The sequence below is a fragment of the Homo sapiens genome, chromosome 5 (assembly GCF_000001405.40).
Source record: "Homo sapiens chromosome 5, GRCh38.p14 Primary Assembly".
NCBI classification, from domain to species: domain Eukaryota; kingdom Metazoa; phylum Chordata; class Mammalia; order Primates; family Hominidae; genus Homo; species Homo sapiens.
The window spans coordinates 51362323-51383445 of record NC_000005.10 but is presented as its reverse complement, the minus strand read 5'-3'; the positions used below and the strand labels follow the sequence as shown (position 1 = coordinate 51383445).

At 40.0% G+C, this 21123-nt stretch overlaps 1 long non-coding RNA gene across 1 annotated transcript; it reads left to right on the top strand.

Annotated features, from left to right (window-relative positions):
* Positions 114-10710, top strand: ISL1-DT (ISL1 divergent transcript). Its single transcript, NR_046243.1, has 2 exons — positions 114-472; positions 4371-10710. It is a non-coding gene; the product is annotated as an ISL1 divergent transcript (long non-coding RNA).
* The last annotated feature ends 10413 nt before the right edge of the window (positions 10711-21123 follow it).

Below are 21123 nucleotides of genomic sequence, written 5' to 3'. Positions count from 1 at the left end.
CGCGGCTCGGGCACCTCTCTTCCTTATCTCTTACTCAAACTTCTCTGCTCCAACTCAGCTCCATCGCCATTGGTCTGACGCAGCGCGCGGGGACGTCAGGCGAGCGCCGCGCCCATTGGCTGCAGGGCGCGCGGCGCAGCTGTTCTGATTATCATATTTCAGCCTCGCCGCCGCTGAGCGCCACTGACCGCTCGGCGAGCCAGCGGGAGAGGATTAGGGCTCCCGAGGCAACTTGCTCGGGGCTCAGGCCGTTCTCCCCCGAAGCTCGGGCTGCCGGGCTGTTCTGGCTCTGGCCTCCCTCTCCTCCTCTTCCTCTTCCTTCTGTCCCCTCCCGCGTTCCTTCCCGGCCGCGCCGCCTGCGCCCTCGCCTCCTGTGGCGCTGCTCCTCCGCCCTGCGCTCCTGGGGTCCCCGCAGTCCGGCTGGCCGCGTTGCGCGCGGGGCTCACTTTCTGCCGCCGGTGGCGAGTGGCTGGTGGGTAGGTCTACCTGTTGACGAGGTCCCTCCCGGGCTCTAGGAAAAGGGGGGAACTTGGAGCAGGCCGTTCAGCTTGGTTTGGTCCCCACGCCGTGGTGCACATCCCCGGGGCCTGGCCTGCCTTGGCTGCTCCGGAGGGCTAGTTCCTCCAGAACTGGCTGCGCTCGGCGCGCTAGGGGAAGAAGAATCGGGAATGGGATGATTAAACCCAGAGGAACTGTTTCCTGACTGCTACACCATTACTCCGTCTCCCCCAACCTCAGATATCTAAAAACGTTGGGTGGGAGGAAAGGGGCGCTTCTTGCTGTTGGGACAATCAGGTTGGAACGCACCGGTAAACCGAAGTTGACTCCGCGGACTGACTTTTTGTCTTTCAGACCCGCGAGGTCTGCTTCTCAGTTTAACTCTAGAATTGAAGCTCACTAACCCGAAGCCAAAGAGCGAAATGATCTTTCAGTAGTCTAAAGTTTGTAAGATTTTTATATACTGTTCAATTCTTCTCACTGCTGGTCTCCTGCCCTTTGTTTTTAAGCAAACTTGTGCAACTAGCTGTGGTATTTTGGTAATTATAAGGACAAGTCTCCATGACTTTGTGGAGATTTTTTAAAAATGCATTAGTCTAAGGGCGCGAGTAGGGAGGGATTTATTACAGAACAGTGAAAGACCTATTTCACGTCCCCAGGCGTTAATATATAATTTTCTCTCGAGAAACTACTTGGAGAGAGAAGACTGTTAGGTGCAACTCGCCGGTAACCTTCTTCAATCATTCTTACATGTTCCCATCATCTGTTACGGTCTCCCAAAGACAGTCACAGGAAGGCCACGAAGAACCCCCGCGCTTCCCCCAAAGCTTCTAAAAAGCCATTTCTTATCTAATGGGGCTGCCAGTTTTATCTAAAAAGTCCTACAGACACAAACCATAGAAGGCTTAATTTCGGTGTCTTGTTGCTGTGAGAAGACCCGGTGTGTTAGGAAACTCCTTTCTTTATATCTTTCGCAAAATCTAACCCTTGATAAGAGCTGTAAATCCTGGCCGGCCGCATTGGCTGGGCTTGAACGGGTAATGCCTCTCCAAAGCGGAAAGGGAATCAAAGATGCGTAAGTTTCCTCCTGACCTAGCTGAGGCTTTCTTCCCCAGGAACTAGTTTTGATTTGTTTTTTCTCAAGGAGGATTTCAAATTGGATCTGTCTTCCCTTCCATTTTTATTATAAGTTGTTTTAGAGCGCGTGTATGAAAGCGAAAGTTGGATAGACCTAGGTTGATAAGTTTACCAGTTGTGTGGTGTGTGTTTTTTTTTTTTTTTTTTTTTGGTCTGTTTCTAGTCTCTGGTATTAGATGTATGGAGCCTTTTGTCAGGCTGCTTTTGCAAAGCTGATGCTGTTAATCTCAATACGAAGCAAATCTTCCTAGTATTTGTGTGTGTTTCCCATAGAGATAAACATGTTGACCCTAGTAAAAAAAAAAAAAAAAAAAGATACCACCACAATGCCAGAAAATAGAGTTTTACCTAGTCATATTCCATCATGCCACTTTTATAAGATGGAATTAAACACCAGAAGCCACCAGAAGCCTGATGACTTACATTTGAGATCCACAAAGCACCCTCACTATCCATCCTCCTTCAAACCAGCCCCCACCTCCCACCCACAGTGTGGTATTTTAACTCCCTAAACCAATAAGCTATTACAAAGAATTATTGCAGATGATAGCACTTCCAAGTAGAAAAGCTTGCATGCGGCTTGGGGGAAACCTTTAGTAATAGACAATTTCACCTTAATGGTGAAGACAACATTTTCCTCTTTTCATTCTGCACCATTGTTGTAAACAAGTATTTTCTTAATAAGTTCCTAAACTGATAGAAGCAAGACGCATGGTGAAGATACCAGCATTAAAAGGAGACGTTTGAGGGACCCCACCATGATGGACATGCTCTGAAGTTCAGTGCATGTATCATGACACATTTTGCATTAAAATCCAAGTTAGAATAGCAGGCTTTGTAGTTTTACTTTACCTTGAAGTTCTAAATTGATCATGGATTATTATGATTTCCTCAGCTGATTGCTGTATGTGGATTTAGTGCATCAAATATATCTGTAAAATTTTGTATACATAAAACTGATGAGCAATTTATCCGTAATACTTGATCACAGGAGCGACCTCTTGTGTTCAAAGCGGGGATTAGACCCTCTCCTCTCAAAAAAGGACTCGTTTTGACCTTTGTATATTGTTAGGTCAAAAATATATCCTTGAAAACGGCAATAGTGTGAATCTCTGGTTTGATTCCTTTACTGAGAAAATGAGGAGTATGAGTAGTTATTAAGTGTAGTCCCCATCACCTCCAGGCTGCCTCAATATATCTGACAGTGTCTTTCAATATAAAAGGGATACTGAAATTTAAGTTCCTCTGGAGTCTGTGGCATCTGCCCATGTGCCCTTGTATACACCTTCCAAAATGTGGCTGTTACACCCAACCTCCTGATGGGCTCTTAGACTTGTGTTTTTGTGTACTGTTGCTTTCTCTGCTTTAGTTACCATTTAAACATTCCACATCAAACTTAATGTCAGATACAGATTCCTGCACAAACATCATGCTCTCAAGCTACATTTCAAAAATCTAAATAGGTTTTAATTGCAATTGAAAGGTAAAATTACACATTTAGCATTTATTTATCTCCCAATAACCTCTGGCAGATATAAATGAATTTTAAGTTGTTTCTTTGGGAAATCACAAACAGTAAGACAGCTTATTCCTTCTCATCTAACCAAGACTGGGAAGGGAAGAGGGGCTTTGATCAGCTTTCCAATGGAGGTATAAATTTGAGAATTTATTCCCAGGGAGATGATGCTATATGTTTAGCTCACATCAGAATCAGGTTTGAAAGAGTAGAATAAGTTACACTGCCAGTTTTACTGAGTAAGGTATTCAGATGAAAAAATATGTATAACTGAAGGATTTATATTTTCTGATGTCCACATCATATAATTTGGGGGCCAAAATGAAACAGGAAGATTTTATTTACCTCTAAAAATGGATATTGAGTAGATGCGTATGTATCCCCTTTCCCGTTTTTATCTTTTCTGTGTAGTCTCTAATGATGTAGAATAAGGCTATATAAATCCTCAGTATCTTTAATCATGTCCAAGGGTCAGATAAAATTATGTGCGTTTAAAGGGAGTTACGATTAACCATTTATATTCCACCGCGAACGGGGTGTGGGTGTTTAGAACCAATTTGCGTCTCTTCCCGTTGGTGGTGGTGGCTTATTGAGGAACAATCAGGAGAATCTGTGCTCTAATTTCAGAGAAAAGGAAGAGATACCAGTGGGTATGAAATGATTCTCTTTTTCTTTCCTTTTACTTAAAAAAATACTAAGCAATGATAATAAAGGCAGTTGTTAACAACAACAAACCTTTAGTTGTGATTCTTATTCTGATGCCTAGGACTCCTGCTGCGATTGTGGTTTTGTTGAGTGTCAATTGCTTTATTAACCAGATAAAACAGTCTGGGTGAATTAGCAAGAATTTTCTCTGCACGCAGAGCTTCCTAGCCTTACTTTCTGAGTTCAGGTAGTTGTTTCTGACACCAGCTTTCCTGGTATTTCTTGGCAGACGACAGGCCAGAAGGCACCGTTCTTGTGCGGTCTGTTGCTCGGTTCTCAGCCGAGATAGAATTTCATGCTCCCGGCATCGGGGCAGCTGCGAAACCACAAACCTCAGTTCAGTCCTGAGCATGCGAAGGTCCGCAGTTGATTGCAGGGAGGCGTTCGGCCAAGCGAGGACGGAAATTTGTATTCTCCCTTTAAAATTGTGCTTCTGAAAGTATTTACTATGACTTATCAAAAGCGGCTGGCAGTGTCAAGTGAAACCTTTTTCTTGCTTCCCCCTGCCCCCTAGAACTCCTAAGTGACCAGGAACAGACGATTTTTAACCGAGTTCTGCTGCGTGGAGCCCAGGTTGGCGCTAGTGAGTGCAGTGTGCTGACCCAAGTGGTGGTGGCCCAAGGACGCGCTGACCCGTACATTTGGCAAAGCTTTCATTAAATGTATCAGATTCTCGCGGAAGTGGTTGCAGTCCGGAGAGTGAAACAGCTATCTCTCAAGTCCTGACCGGTTCAGCTGAAATCTACATTTGCACTGAATCTGGCAAAACACGGACGGGTCCGCCCGAGATCTCAGGAAACCCAGAGCAAGTTACCTCCATGTAGTTGATCATTCTTTCTGAAAGGACGGACACCATTTACCCCACTGCAATCCTGTCCAACGGGCAGCTCTGAGTTTAGCTTTAGCGCCAAAGGATTGATTTCCCCCACCCGCTGGAGATTTACTGGGGACGAGCGGGGGAGGGGAGGCGAAGGTACCTCGGAGGAGGTCAAGTGGGGGAGGAGGAGGAGCAGCAGAAAATTACCAGCCAAGCAGGGGAGGGAGTTGGAAGCCCGGAAATATACCAGGATGCCTCAAGTAACCTTCCTTTAAGTCTCAGAATTCAGCCCTCGGAAAACAGCCTCATAAGGTGTCCTGGGAAGGAGTCCTCGGGTGGGCTGCGGAGGTGATGTCAAGAGTTACAGCTACTTTATGAATTAAACTGACGGCTAAGGCATGTCGGGACAGTTTAGTGTAAGCTGAATGGTGCGTGGACGGGGCAACTTTTAAAGAGAGGTGGGCAATCATTGGTGGCATCTACCAGTATATTCTGCATGTAACAGTAGTTTGGAAGCTGAAGAAAAACCCCTCAAATCCCAGTAAATGCCCGGTCAGTTCGAGAGAGATTTTAGGGACAATTTTGAAGGTCGCTGTCTGCTCCAACTCCGCAGAGATGAACAAGAGTGTGAACTCTGGCGCGGGTGTGTTTAGAATTATCTACGACTTCAGATCCATGCTGTTGAAACTCATCAATTCTTTGTGACTTCACGTGGAGAGAAGAATTTGCCCTGCCTCCCTACCTGCTAAATGCCGACTGAGAAAAGGGGCCCAGGAGACGACCCCTTTCAGAAAGAACGTCACTTCATCAACTCGGCTGAGTTATTAACTTGCTCCCCGAAAGGTCAACAACGCCTTCTCTTCTCAGCCGCACCGCGCGGAGATCAATCGCTTTACCCTAGGTAGCCTCTTGTTCAGGGCTCAGGAACTCCTGTCTTAAGGTCCTTCTGGGGCTCAGAAGCTGTGTTGTGTATGTTCTTTCCAAGAATCCCACCTGTCTGCTTTCAAGCACACACGGCGCTAGAAATTTAGCCTAGCCTGAGTCCTGGGATGAGAGAAGAGCTAAACAAAGAGACCCCAACCGTCCCCTTGGCCCCCTGCCCCGCCGTTTTGCAGTTTGCCAACCTTCTAGCTAGACAGCCCCCTAAGTCTCCGTGTTGCGAGTGAAAGAGAATTTTTCTATTTCATCTTCCCATTGACCGAAGCAGAAAAATTGAACCGAATCTACGCCCCTTGTTCTGATTCCTGCTAGAGGAAAACAGAAAATCATCCCGCAGGTCTCTTTCAGTCCCTGGATGGCGAGCGCAGCCCCTGGGAGGCCACACTTAGTTCTTTATTGTGAATCTCTCGCTACTCAAGTTCGTTCGGGACCAGGGCCTCGGATGGCCTCGGTTGCCCGTAAGTACGCGAAAGAAGAGGTGAATCCAATCGCTGGCCTAGAGGATAGTGATCAGACAACCCGAGGATTACTAAACAAGGGGCGGCGGTGTCCCTGTCTCATGGGGTTGGCGTGGGGCGGGGGGTAGGCAGCAAGATCCTCCAGGCTCCTGGATGCAAAGAGTGAGAAAGAAAGCGCAGCCTCTGGCAGCCTGCTTATAAATGCAGCCTTTCGGAAGATGAAACTTGCAGTCTTAGGTTGTCCTCCTTTATATCCATGTTCCAATCCTCTGGGCTTTCCTCGAAATGAATAAAATTGTGGAAATGAATGAATGAGAATATCACTTTAATTGTTTCAAACTCATTGTCAAGTCACCTTTTCTGCCATCTGCCAGAGGTTCAATTTGCGCTTCGTGTCTACATTCCAGAAAATTGTAAGGACGTTTCCTCTGCATCTGTCTGCCTTGTTGGCAGCGTGCGGAAACGATAACTGCACAGTTATTGGTACAGAATATTTTCATGACTAGCTTAATTCTAAATATCACCCCAAAATACAGATACCTTACTTCTTAGTTGGCATTATTCAAGTTTATTCACTTTGTGCTGCAAATGTTTGAATTAGAAAACAGGAGAGAACTCCCGCAGCAGAGATGCACTTCTCTGCTCTCCTGTCAGTCACAGAACCCACACTGGGTGATTAGCCAGAGGGGCGGGCTCCTTTGTTGACTTAAGAGTTCACCAGGCAAGATGGAACAATTATCTTGTTGCCTCTTCTTAACTGTCTATTGTTGACTTACTTCTAGTATGCTTCCATTGTACAAAATTCTATCCAAAATTGAAGAATAAATCGTAAGTTAAAAAGGTAATAATGATAATAGGTCTACTTTAATTTTACCTGGCTTTGTTAATAGATAGTCTATACCTGACAGTCATATACATAAGAGATGTCGAAAGTATATAGCATATCATTTATGTATAATTATATATGTTATAATTATATGCTAATGATACCATCATTTAACGTTACAAGGTAATTCTATAGAAAACTTGAAGTTCTATTTTTGATATATATAACACCCTCTTTACAAGAAAATAATTGTCAGGCTTAAAAATGATATTCAAGGGTGCTTTTATCAAGAGAACAAAATCTGAAGCTTCATGAACTAAAATCCTATCAAGCAAGGTGGTCCATAACTAGGTTGCTTTGGGTTAATGATAACTTAAAATACTCTTGTTTTTGTAACTTTTTGTGCACAAAGTGCACATTTTACAGTTGTGCATGTCAATGTGTGTTTTACCACTTATTATTCTGAAACCTTCAGTCACATCATTTCAGCAGGAAATAAAACCTGAATAAGTCCTAGGCAATGTGTAAGGAATAAGTATGGTTTAACTTTTGTAGCTTAACAATATTGTGCTGATCTTTAAATGCAAATATTAATATATTGAAATTAATATAAGTAGATAATTTCATCACCTCCTAATTTATAAAAAATGGAAAAGCAAATATAACAAGCTGCTTTACTTTCTATAATGTCTATTTAAGGACCTATTACCAAAATATAGTAATAATAGGATTCATGTATGTGTAACACATATGTAGCTATCACTCTATTATTGGAGAGTTCAGTCTAGTTATAAACACACTGAACTATCATATGATGTGTGCCATTACTTGAATGTTGCTAAATTGATGCTATGCTATATTTTAAGACTCTCCCTCCTCTTTCCAGATACATGTACTAGCCCAGGAAGATCCCTGCATCTTGAACAGTAATGCTGAATCGGAAACTATGTCGTTACCCATAAGTAGAATCCTCCTGACTTTCACTTAAATATCAGGACCCAAATTATTTTATGTCTCACTTCAGAACATAGCACAATGTGCTATTTTATCTTCTTGGCCCAGTCTTTAGATTTATTCTATACTCTCCGTGTTACAAGCTGCACAAACCATTGGTGACAATGAGAACCACTCTATATAGTTTTACTGACTTTGGATTCTCATATAATGTATGAACAAATATAAGCCATATCTTTTAGGTCTTGACGATGTGTTTCTTCCAATTCTGAAGTGTTCGTATAGTTGTCCCTAATGTCACGTGATACGTCTCTTCGTTGTCCTATACCCGAGCCATAGCAGATCTGATGTGACTTTGGATATACCATGTGAGGGCAAGCATTTTCTTTTAGGCTAGGCCATCAATGAGGAAGAAACATGAGTAGAGCTCTTAAAGCAGAGGAAAATGTAAGTGGATGGAAAAAAATCACACTTTTGAATATAGTATTGGAGAAAGAATTGAGTGTGGGTGACTTTATTAGCTAGCAGAAGAAAGAGTGAAAATAGGTGCTTGGCTAAGATGAGAAAAGTATTCAATTTTGAAAACAGAAAGAGAAAGCTTATTTAGAAAAAGAAAACATGGAGTAAATGTCAAGAGGAACATAAAGAAATAGGGCGTGGTGACCCAGTTCATTCTGATAGAATAGGCGTTTAAGGGCAAAACCCAGATCCGAAATAGGTAGTGGATGGAACTAGGGAACAGTAGATTCATAATTATTTTAACTTGGCATTTAAAACTTTAAAATCTGAGTTGAGGGGTTTTTTTTAATGGTAGAAAAGCAGCTTATTTGGCAATAATTTTAAAAACTTCTGTCGCATCTTTAATCATACTAGACTGTTCACCTTTGTAAACTCCTCACTATCAGTAAACTGTCAGTACACTGTCAGTACAGAAAATACAAACTAAAAGTACTAGAAATATCACAATACGGATTTCTCTTTTTAATGTAACTAGGTTTATCTAACAATAAGATTCAGGATTCAGAAAAGAAAAAAGACCAGATCTGAGAAGGAATTTTAAAAAATGGTTTCAAAGTTTTCCAGAGTTTTGTTAGCCATTGCCCTTTCTGCAGACGTGGTTATATCAGAAAGTGTAATTCAAGTATTTGCACTGCTTACTTAAACCACAATAAAAAGGGAAAGATGTTGTGAAAACACTGCCTCATGCTCAAATTTATGCAAAACAACTTGAAAGGCTGCCAGCAACACTGTTGTTATGTTAGCAGTTCTGATCTGGCTTCACATTCTCCTAGAGGAGTTCTTCTGATGTGAGAAGAATGTAAACCCAAACCACAAGGGAGTATTCATTGTACCTATGCACTTGGGAAGAGTTTGGGTGCCCAAAATGTCAGAAAAATCAGATACAGTTGTTCTCTTAGAATCTATTCTGGAGGTCACAAGGTCAGAATGCCTGCACATGTGCATAAACCAACATGCCCATAAAAGCCTGATAGGAGGCAGCAGTGCCCCATAAAAGGTCACACCCAGCCAGAATCCAGCAACGTTGGAACAGCGTCTGTTATGGAGAAGAAATATGTGTCTGACAGCAGCAACAGCAGCAGCAGAGAAAGATGGATTGGGGATTAATCATGGTAAGATACTGAGCAAAAGAGACAACAAATTCTGCCAAGCATGAATCCTTCTCTACTCACAGGTTTCACAAAATACACTCTTCAAAGTACAAGCTGGTTGGCCAAGGTCAGGTTGATCTTTGCTAGGCTAAAGAAGCAGCTGCGGAGTGTTTCCCACGGCAGATGGAGAACACCTAAGGATTTTTTACTGTTAAAAAAATAATAATTTGTGTTTCAACAGTAGAAATACTCCTGATAACACACGTGATCAAAATTGCATTCCCCCTCAGTTCTCATGACATTCACTTTGGGGTAATACCATTTAAAAAATATTATTGGTAGCTGTTAGCCTGTGGCTTTCCAGGACCTTACTTTTAATGTATTTCCCTTGTCTTTCTAGATTTAACATATTGCCTCATTTCATAATCTCCCTTCATTGAGATCATTTGTATAAGCAAAACATGTTACATGACAGTCTTTGGAAGACTGAATAGGCGCCACTAAATTGTGCAGTTTAGAGGGCTCTAGGCAAGGCCACCCAGACTGAAATGGTAGCCCCTCTATATCTGTCAAAGCATCTCAAATAACTCTAAGAAAGATTTACTACTTTGACAATCATAAAGACTCTTTAGTTTTCAGGAGGTTTTGTTTAGTTTTGTTGGTTGGTTATTTAATGCCAAAGCTTTCTGTAATTGATTTTTCCTGCTTCTTTACCCATTTGTACCATTATGAAGATTTCTATAATAAGCATGCCAATAATAAGAAAAAAGAAGGAAAGAAGGAGTTGAAAAGGAAATAAAGATGATAAACCTAAAAATAAATGATACACAATGGAATACTATTCAGCAATTGAAAGAACAACTGATACATACTTTAACATGGGTGGGTGAGTCTCAATATGCTGAGTAAAAGAAGCCAGAACAAAAATGGACACTCTATAATTCTACTTATGTAAAACTCTAGGATATACAAACTAGTGTTTGACAAACTGATAGTGAAAGAAATCAGATGAGTGGTGACTGTGGGATGGAGTAGGCGAAGGGTAGATGGGAAAGGCAGAGATTAAAAAGGGACTAGAGGAAATTTTTGGAAGTGATAGACATATTCCTTAATTTATATTCCTTATTTTTATTGTGGTAGTTTAATGGGGGTATGCTGTGGCAAAGCTTACCAAATTATATATTTTAAATATGGGCAGTTCATTGTGTATCATTTATACCTCAATAAAGCTATTAAAAATAGAAAAGAAACTGCATTGTGTTGTCCTGTTCTTTGTTATTGTTATTAGTAGTAGTATTACATAATTTTTACAATAAAGGGGAAAGGGCAAATACGCAGCACTGTATTTATGAAATAAGGTACTTGAAGGGAGAAAAAAAGGAGTTTAGCTCAGCCTAATTGGTGTTTGGTCAGTGGGTACTGGGGAATACCAATCTGAATTTTCTATTGCCTAATACTACAATTTCAAGCACTTTCCCATCTTGTAATACTACTCTTCAGGATCCCAAGATAGGCTTCCCAGAAAACATCTCTATATTTTGCTTTCCCCAAAGTCAAATTAATTCTGTAATTCCTAGCACTCTGTATTATTTTTTTCAACACATCACTTTATAATTTGTTTACATATAGGGTTTGCCACCATCTTCCAAGACTCAAAAAAAAAAAAAAAGTTTTTGAGGAGAGAGTCCATATCTGGACCATTACTGTGAACTATTGTCTCTACAAATTTTCGGTGAATTATCAAATGGTCTCCCAGCCAGATAGCTGGGCTCCTGCTGCCTTTGGCTGAACTTCCTCAGACATCAACTGCTGGTTCACCCAAATGCTTGCCTGAACAAAGACACCATTTCCTGGGTACCCTGTTCTCTTGGCCCACGGGACCCTGGAGTCAGCCTGATCCATATCTGAGTTCTTCATACCCATTGGGCACTCCCTCTGAGACTTGGCTGCACCCCAAGTCTTTCCAGACAGGTTTGCCACCTTCTCTTTCTGGCCCTTGTGAATGAGGCTCCAGCATGTCCATATCCCACTCCTTTTTCCTCATAAACTTAATTTGCTATGAGCTGACTTCAATATCTGATTTTCAAGTAGTCATATCAGCTCTATGGTAAATCAATCAGCCACAGACAGACTTTTCTGTGAGGCAGAGGGAAGGAAGAAGGGAAATGATTTAACTGGGATGTGTTTAAATACAAGATTTATTTCTTTTCATGTTTTGGATTTGGGGTTTAAACATCACTGATCAGGGAAAAGATCAGTCAGTTTCTTTGTGGATCATATTTGTGAGTCTTTCCACAGGGCAGGACATGTACCCAGTGAGGGAGCAAATAGCTTCATTAAGGACAGGGATGGGTATGAAGCATTTAGGGTCAGAGGAGATGGAGCTAGATTAAGAGCATTAGTATTGACTAGAATTCTTTCTTTATACTCTGATCAGAGGCACACAGCTGACATGTCTTGTAATATATTTCTGTGTTTGCTAGAAGCATTCTGCTTTGAAAATTTTCTCTTATCAGAAACTTTTAAAACAAAAACTCACATTAAAAGATTGATGTGAGGAAAATTTTTCCTATTTTTTTTCCTCTCTGAGGAGGAGATTGCTATTTGTTTAAAAAAAAGTCCTTGTTCCCTTGACTTCATTCTTCCTTTCTAATATAATCCTGATATTTGTGTTTGTTTACCTATTGGCTATATTCCCAGCTAAAATACTCTGTTTTCTAGCCTCTCTTATAGCTAGAAGTGGCTGATAAGTAGAGGTTGCCATGTGAGTCTTCGGGGAAAACTACTTACAAGGGAGACAGACAACTGGCACAAACTTCTCTGACATTTTTTTCTTTCCCTTCTTCTTGACTAGAACCTGGGTATTGTGGCTGGAATTCCATCACCCTCTTTTCACTTTGGGGTGACACCGAGGATGGAAGTCAGATGCAATGGGTGTTGCCTGGATCACTGATTATTTTCAAGAACCATCATATTGTCTTTGGACTGTGGAGTTATATATTGCTGTATAACAAGTTACCTCAACTTTAGCAGCTTAAAACAACATCCATTTATTATTTCAGTTTCTTTGGGTCGGAAGTCTGAGCATGGCTTGACCAGTGCCTTTGCCCAAGGTCTAACAAGGATATCATCAAGGTGTTAACCAGGCAGCGTTCTCATCTGGAGGCTTGACTAGGCAAAGAATCAGCTTCTGAAATCACTTGGATTGTTGGAAGAATTCATTTTTTTTGCAGTTGTATGACTGAGGTCTCCATTTTGTTTTCTTGTTGGCTGTTGGTCAGAGACTACTTGTCAGCAACTAGTTTAGGACCTTGATCTCCATAGCTCATATCATGGCTATTAGCATCTTTAGGGCCAACAGTAGAATCTTTCTCTCTTCAGGAATTTCTCTCCTCTTTTAAGGGATTTCACCTGATGAAGTCCGTTAACCCAGGATAATCTCCCTTTTTGTTTACTCCAAATCAACTGATTTGGGACCTTAATTACATCTGCAAAGTCCTTTCACTTTTGCCATATAATGTAACCTAATCATGAGAGTGACATCCTATCATATTCACAGGTCCTGTCCACACTCAAATGACATATGTATAACAGGAAGTGAGACTGCTGGAGGCCATCTTAGAATTCTGCCTATCACAACTCTTTACCTGTGGGCTTCCTGCACATTAAGATGATAAGCCCTTCATTTCTTTCACCAGAGTAGACAGGCACATCTCTAATACTTGCAACGAAACAATTCCTGTTACAAGCTCTGGAAATGTCAGGAAAATAATAAAGTATACTTAATTATTTCCCTTAATTTTACAAATTATGTCTTTTATTCTGGGAATGCAAAGGAATAATTGAGTAAAAAGAAATTGATTTCAGGCTGGGTGCAGTGGCTCACGCCTGTAATCCCAGCACTTTGGCAGGCTGAGGCGGGCGGATCATTTGAGGTCAGGAGTTTGAGACTAGCCTGGCCAACATAGTGAAACCCATCTGTACTAAAAATAAAAAATTAGCCGGGGCATGATGGTGGGTGCCTGTGGTCCCAGCTACTTGAGAAGCTGAGGCAGGAGAATCACTTCAACCGGGGAGGCGGAGGCTGCAGTGAGCCGAGATCTCGCCACTGCACTCCAGCCTGGGCAACAGAGTGAGACTCTGTCTAAAAAAAAAAAAAGAAGTTGAGGCCAGGTGTAGTGGCTCACACCTGTAATCCCAGCGCTTTGGGAGGATGAGGTGGGAGGATTGCTTGAGCCCAGGAATTTGAGACCAACCAGGGCAACATAGTGAGACTCTCTGTATCTAACAAAATAATAATAATTTTAAAAAGTTAGCAGGGCGTAGTGGCACATTCCTGTAGTCCCAGCTACTTGAGAGGCTGAAGTGGGAGGATCACTTGAGACTGGGAGGTTGAGTCTGCAGTGAGCTATGGTTGCACCACTGCACTCCAGCCTGGGTAACAGAGTGAGACCCTGTCTCGAAAAATAAAATTTCAAAAAGTAGAGTGAAAAGTGAAGGCTCTCCTTCAAATATACCAATATGTCTTTACTCCCTAAGGGTAGGCACTGTTAGCAGCCACTTTTTGATTATCCTAGCCCCAAAAGGACAAAAAGTGTGGATTTACAATACAAATAGGTATGTATTATATATAATAACATACATAATTGTATATTCATAAACCTATACACATCTCTATGTACTATAAATCAAATCATACAATACATAATATTCTGGAAAAGTTTTGTTAATGACCCCCAGCCAAATATCACCAGGAATTCACCTGCACTTGAACAAGCTGGGTTCCTTGTTCATTGCCACAAGGGAGACTACACATCATGGGGTATTGTGGAGTGTCTTAGTAAGAGGGTATTAGGATTTAGAGAATTTGCGCTTTGTTTGGGTGATCTGGGGAGAGTTCAAGGAAATGGGGGTTTGCTCACTTTGGATTGGATGCTATCAGGAAATGGAGATAATTCTATTATTGAGCACCTTAATAAATCTTTTCCAGAAGGAGGAAAGACTAGAAGGAAAGTAAAGCTGTAACTGGTAAAGCAGAAGCAATCACTTAAATTAGCCAGGAGAGCGAGATGTTTGGTATTTCTGTGGTTGCTACAGTGACCTTGTTTTTGTCTTGTGCTTAGACAAAATTATGAATGGTCTCACTTTTTGTATCACTTCTTCACAGTCACAGAGTTACCTCGTCTCATGCTGATATTCCCTGAGAATGTTTTGGTCCAAGAGGAGAACATCAAGCCCTGGCTATGAGAGCCAGGCCAAATTCTGACAATGCTGAGACCCAGCTGTTACGTGTCAGACCAGTTCCCATATGTCAGGGGCTGCTTTTATTTTCATCCCAAAGAACATCTCTGATGAGAAAAAAAAGATGCAAATTAGATAATATATTGTATTGCATTGGGGATAGAAGAATTATAAATTGTCCATTACACATATAATTCATATTATGTAGGGTCATGCTGTGGTTGATAATTCCAGACTTTATTAGGTACATTTCAATGTCGTGCAAAAAATGGCCTTTGTTGGTGGGAGCTATATATATTCTCCTATCAACATAGGACATGTGTTTTATATATGTGAAAATGTATACACATACATATATGAAATGCATGTTTTCTATGTATTTTATATAACTATACTTTTAAAGAGAAAGCATAACTATGTCTAGAAAATGTATATAACATACATAATATATATACTTTTTAAAGAGAAAGCATCAGCTCTCACATTCTGAGTCAGTATCAAGTTAGAGTTTGTAGGATTTATCTTGATTAGTCTTTGTTTCAAAATTGTATAAAATAAACAACTAGCTGCTGCTGCTAATATCAACATTTTCTAAAAATATGTTGAGTATGTTGTGTTCTTCTAAATATTTATCTTTTAAAAATAATCTCAATAAGCTATGCTTTGGGAATTTTTTTGGGTGGGCAAATAAATACTTCCAACAGAAACAAAATGAAGAACAGTTCTGCTCTCCTCTAGCATTTACAGAGAGATTCTCTTCTTATCTAGTATTCTAAACGTTCTTGGTCCAAAATACATTGTCTATAATGATTTTCTCTCTAAAGCTGGAGCAAGAGACACTCCACTCCAGCAGCTAGCCTTTTTTTCTCATCTGTTGGAGAAAGAGGCCCCTTCCAAGCTTATTCTGAAGTTCCCACTGGAAAATGTATGTATCTCACATTTCTAGTCTTTCAAGCAAGTGTTATAAATCTTATCTACAAAGTAATTGGAGTTATCTGAAAGGGAATATGGGCTGCTTGTCTACATTAGTTAAGATAACTTGTAATTTCTTGGGAAGAAAATGCAGAAAATGAAAGTTATCTCTGTATGGAATTCCAGTATTCAAAGGATGAAATCTCTCACAAAATTTTCCATGTAATATGGTTCAAAAAGGTGTAATGTAGGCATGCTACTGCACCTTCTTTCGCCTCTGTAACTCCTGGAAAGATGCCACAGAACATGCAGTTTACATCTAGTCCTTGCTTGACATTAGTAAGAAATTACTGTTGATCAGCTTAGCAGACAATAGGGGACCAAATTCACCATTCCGTCTTCTGGTCTTTGTTCTTGACAGGTGTTCTATCCGCTTGCCTTCCACAGTCTGTAAACTGGAATACTGCTTCATGTCCAGTTCACATGGCAAATTGAAAGGAAAAGAATGACTCTTGAGAAGGCGGAATGATGAAGCAAGTTGATTTTTAGCATCCTCCACTTCTTAACCTGTCCTCTATTGCTCAGTCAGGTACTGTGGCCAGGATGCCTGAGGACCCTGCTGAGGCATCTTATCAGTCTCTAAACTCTATGGGGAGAATTTGGATGCCCATGCTGGTTCCAACAAAGCTCAAGGGCCCGAAAAATGGGTGGGTGGGGGAGTGGACAAGTTCTCCCAGCCCTGATTTGTCTATTTAAGGCTTGTTCCCAATACCTATCAGGCTGTTGAAGTGCATTTATTACTCTCAGGTAATGTCTCTGGTGGGTTGAGGCAGCCCCATATCATTTAGAGTTTGGTTGGTTTTCCAGCACCAAACCAGAAAAAGCATTTTGCAGGTAATTGCTTCATAAAGAAGCAATAAAGAAGCAGATTTCATAAAAGCAGAAATGGAAAGTCTACTCCTAAAGAAGGTTAAAGTGTAAGTCTTAGTTGCAATACAGATGAGACATAAACAAAGCAAATTTTCTTTTTCTACTACTGCAATAAGTTCTTCTACCATTAAATATTACATTTTAATACACATGGTTGATCTGAAAAAATAAGATAATTGATGTGAAAATAATTTGTAAATATAAAACAGATTAGTTCTATAAGCAGTATAGTTACAATAGTAGTGATAACATTATTACTATTATTTTACTCTTGTTACTATTACTGGTGGTAGTGATAGTCAATTCCTGTTCAAATGTCAGAAGACTTAAGACTGGGAAATACACTAGGGGTTTAATTGTTAATGACTTGCTGATGATTTATTCTAGCTCCACAGAAATATATAGATTTATTATTTTCTCAGTGATCCTAGGAAAATAATATATTATATCATATTATATAATATGCAAATAAATACTAATGTAAGCACATATTCACTAATGTACGTATATAAGTATCAGCCATGGTGTAATGCATAATATTATATTACAAAATTATAATGTAGACTCCACACACATTATAATAAAATACACATCAAGTTAAAATGGAGTTAAACCTCATATCAAAGACATCAATTATCATATATTTTAATTAGAAACCTATCTTTAGTTTCTTTGCTAAGCACAAATTATTTATTATAATATTGTGTAAAAATGTTAAATTGACCTTAGAAAGGCAAGCACTCATGCTTACTTGTACACTTCAGGCACGTTATATGATATTTTACTAACGAGTACCACCAGTACGTTTAAGGAAAGCAGCTCAGGGTAGTTTAAACAAATGATTAGTGTAGACAATATGGGCATAAATCTTTTCTGCTCTTCATATGCCTGTAGAGATAGGAACCTATTTTATAGGTAAATGCAAGTTCTAAAATTATAATCTTAATGTGCATATTTAATTGGCTTTGTATGTCACAATACTTTGACTCGAGGCATTTTAAAAATATGCCTTATCTAGAGTAAAGCCTGTTCTTGTACCTTCATTTCAGTGAGAATGTAGAACTGACTCTATTGTGTCTCTATATGTAAGACTCTTTGTAGCATTTCCAGGAACAATAATGTGTATTCAGTCATCTACAAATCGTGTTATCTTTTGTGATATTCGTTCATGAATAAGGTAGGAAGAGGCGAGCGGAGTTCCGAGTTGAGGTAGAAGCTATAGCAAAATGGTAACCTAAGACAATTTTAATTCATGTGTAAAATCTCCCCAGCCCACTTTGGCTGTATTTTCCAGAATCTTTCACCATATGCCTTAGAGCAGAAGTTAACCTCTAGGGTTTGGTACTGGGGAGATGGAGAGATAACTCCATGATTTGTATGAAATACCGTTATTCAACCAATTTGAGGGACTGGTGAAGAGTTTTAAGAATTATGATTTATTATTACTTTACCTAACTTACCTAATTGAACGAAGTGTAAATGTTTGTCATTTAAATACATAAAATAGATTTCCTTCTATTGGCAACTTTGACCCAGTTCTTACAGGGCATAATTTGGTTGGTCTGTCTATATATAATTTCAAAAGAGCCGGATGTAAAGTGACAGTCATTTTTGGTATTTATTTTCATATGAGAGAAAAATCTCTAGAAAATAGACATTTCATTTTAAGAGACACGGTCTCATTCTGTCATCCAGGCTGGAGTGCAGTGGTGCAATCATAACTCACTTCAGCTTTGAACTCCTGAGCTTGAGCAATCCTCCCACCTCAGCCTCCTGAGTAGCTAGGATTACAGGTGAACGCCACCATGCCTAGCTAATTTTAAAAAACTTTTTTTGTAGAGACAGGGTCTCACTATGTTGCTCAGGCTGGTCTCTAACATTCCTAGCCTCAAGCAATCCTCTCACCTTGGCCTCCCAAAATAATGGCATTATAGGAATGAGCAACCATGCCCAGCTGACTAAATATTTTTGATCAATCTAGATAGTTGCATTTTATTGATATAGCTTTTAAAAGCAACTATAGTAATAGTTTTGATAGACTGCACACAAAATAAATGTGCAACTGATGGGCACATACATTTTAAAAATTATATTATTTACCTGGCTGACTAAATATTTTTGATCAATCCAGATAGTTGGCATTGAATTGATATAGTTTTTAAAAGCAACTATAGTAATAGTTTTGATAGACTGCACACAAAATAAATGTGCAACTGATAGGCACATACATTTAAAAAATCATATTCTATTTACCTTCCTGTAATGATCCATTTATCTGACCTTCATATTGCAGTAAATTGTATAACTTCATAAGTGTCTCTATTCTTCTTTATACCTTTGCTAATTAATAAAAAAAGTACCTAAAACACATTTTTTTGTTCTTTGAAAGCATTTTTGTAACTCTTTTATAAGTGTTACTTTTATATGTAAATATGAGCAATCATAATTTTTTTAAATGGTAAGATTCAATTTTTCTGAAGTGGGGGCAGCTATGGTTTATTATTTTATTTTATTTTATTTTTATTTTTTGAGACAGGGTCTTGTTCTGTCACCCAGGCTGGAGTGCAATGGCACAATCTTGGCTCACTGCAACCTCCACATCCTGGGCTCAAATGATCCTCCTGCCTCAGCCTCCCAAGCAGCTGGGACTACAGGCATGTGCCACCATGCCGGGCTAATTTTTGTATTTTTTGTAGAGACAGAGTTTTTCCGTGTTCCCCAGGCTGGTCTCAAACTCCTGGACTCAAGGGATCCGCCCACCTTGGCCTCCCAAAGTGCTGAGATTACAGGCGTGAGACACCTCACCCAGCCAAAGGGCAGCTATGTTATAACTCACTTTGAAAGATGAAAAAATTAAAAATTGAATTACTGATGAACCATTATGCTGTCTTAAACTTCCTTAAGCTTGGTATTCTTTCAGAGTACCTTAGGGGAATTTTAAGACTCAACTCATTGAGTTTTAAATGAATAGTTATGAAAAATATATTTTATGTTGAATCAGTGGACTGGCATCAAAGACACAACACACTCCAAAGGTTTAATTAGACAACTATTAATGAAGGGATTATGTTTGGAAATGTGGGCAAGGTTAAGGGATCCAGCAGGGCTAGGGAAGCATATGAGACTAGCAACGGTGGGGAGTTCTGAGTCCTGGCCTAGGATCCTGAAAGCTGGGGAAAAGAGGATGATGTTATGAGTGGTGGCTGTAGGGAAAAAATATCACTACCAAAACTGCAGTGATCTAAAGGTCACAAAAGGATAAATACCGTGGACTCTTTCTTACGGCCTTCCCATTGCCTGCCAGTACCTTCTATTCATTGATCTCAGGTAGAAGCCAGAGGTCAGCCTCCTGTGGCACAGACCAAGTCGGAGTAGGATGGAAGTGGATCTGCTAAATCAGAGGAAAACAATTAGTGTCAGTTTTTTATGTTTGTGGTAACAAATTATCACAAGTTTAGAGGCTAATATCAACACAAGTTTATTATCATACAGTTCTGGAGATCAGAAGTCCTGCATTCAAGAGGTTGGCAGGAGGCTGGGCGCAGTGGTTCATGCCTGTAATCCCAGCACTTTGGGAGGCCAAGGCAGGCGGATCACATGAGGTAAGGAATTTGATACCAGCCTGGTCAAGATGGTAAAACCACATCTCTATTAAAAATACAAAAATTAGCTGGGTGTGGTGGCTCACACCTGTAATCCCAGCTACTCAAGAGGCTGAGGCAGGAGAATCGCTTAAACTCAGAGGCAGAGGTTGCAGTGAGTGGAGATCACACCACTGCACTCCAGCCTGGGTGACAGAGGAGCCTCCATCTAAAAAAAAAAAAGAAAAGAAAAAGAAAAAAAGAGATTGGCAGGGATGCCTTCCTTATGGAAGCTTAGGGGAGAATTGATTTATTTGTCTTTTCCAGATTCTAGAGGCTACATATTTTGCTTCATTTTTGACTCCTTCCTCCAATCACTTCAACCTCTGCTTCCATTGTCACATCCTCTTTCACTCTGACTTTCCTGCTTCCTCTCATAAGGACCCTTGTGATTCGTTGGGCCCACCTGGGTAATCTCTTCATTTTAAGATTCTTAACTTAATCCCATACATTGCAAAGCATGGTAATATATTCACAGGTTCTGAGGATTGGCAGGTGAATATCTTTAGGAAGGGAGTTTTCTGTGTACAGACCACAGATCCCAACTAGCTATAACTATGAAAGAAGTTGATGTCTCTGCTATAGGGAGAGTAAAACTAAAGACTGTGTACACATTTTACAGTGAAGAAGGAATTGCTTTTTATAATTTGTAAAGTATTTTCTTTTTTGAAGGATGCAAAAATTATTGAACTAGTGTTCCATTGAATTTTAACTGTTGTATATATTTAGTCCTTTATGTTTGAATGCTTTCTAAAGTAGCCACTTTCCAAGTTAGCCTCTCCACATCTCATGACAAGAATACTTTGAGATTTTTCATAAACAGACTTGGAAAAATAATAACAGCTAGGTTTTATTGAATTATTATGATTTTCTAGCCACTTTCACATGCCATTTCTACAATATCCATAATACTATTAGCAATAATTTATTTTATTTATT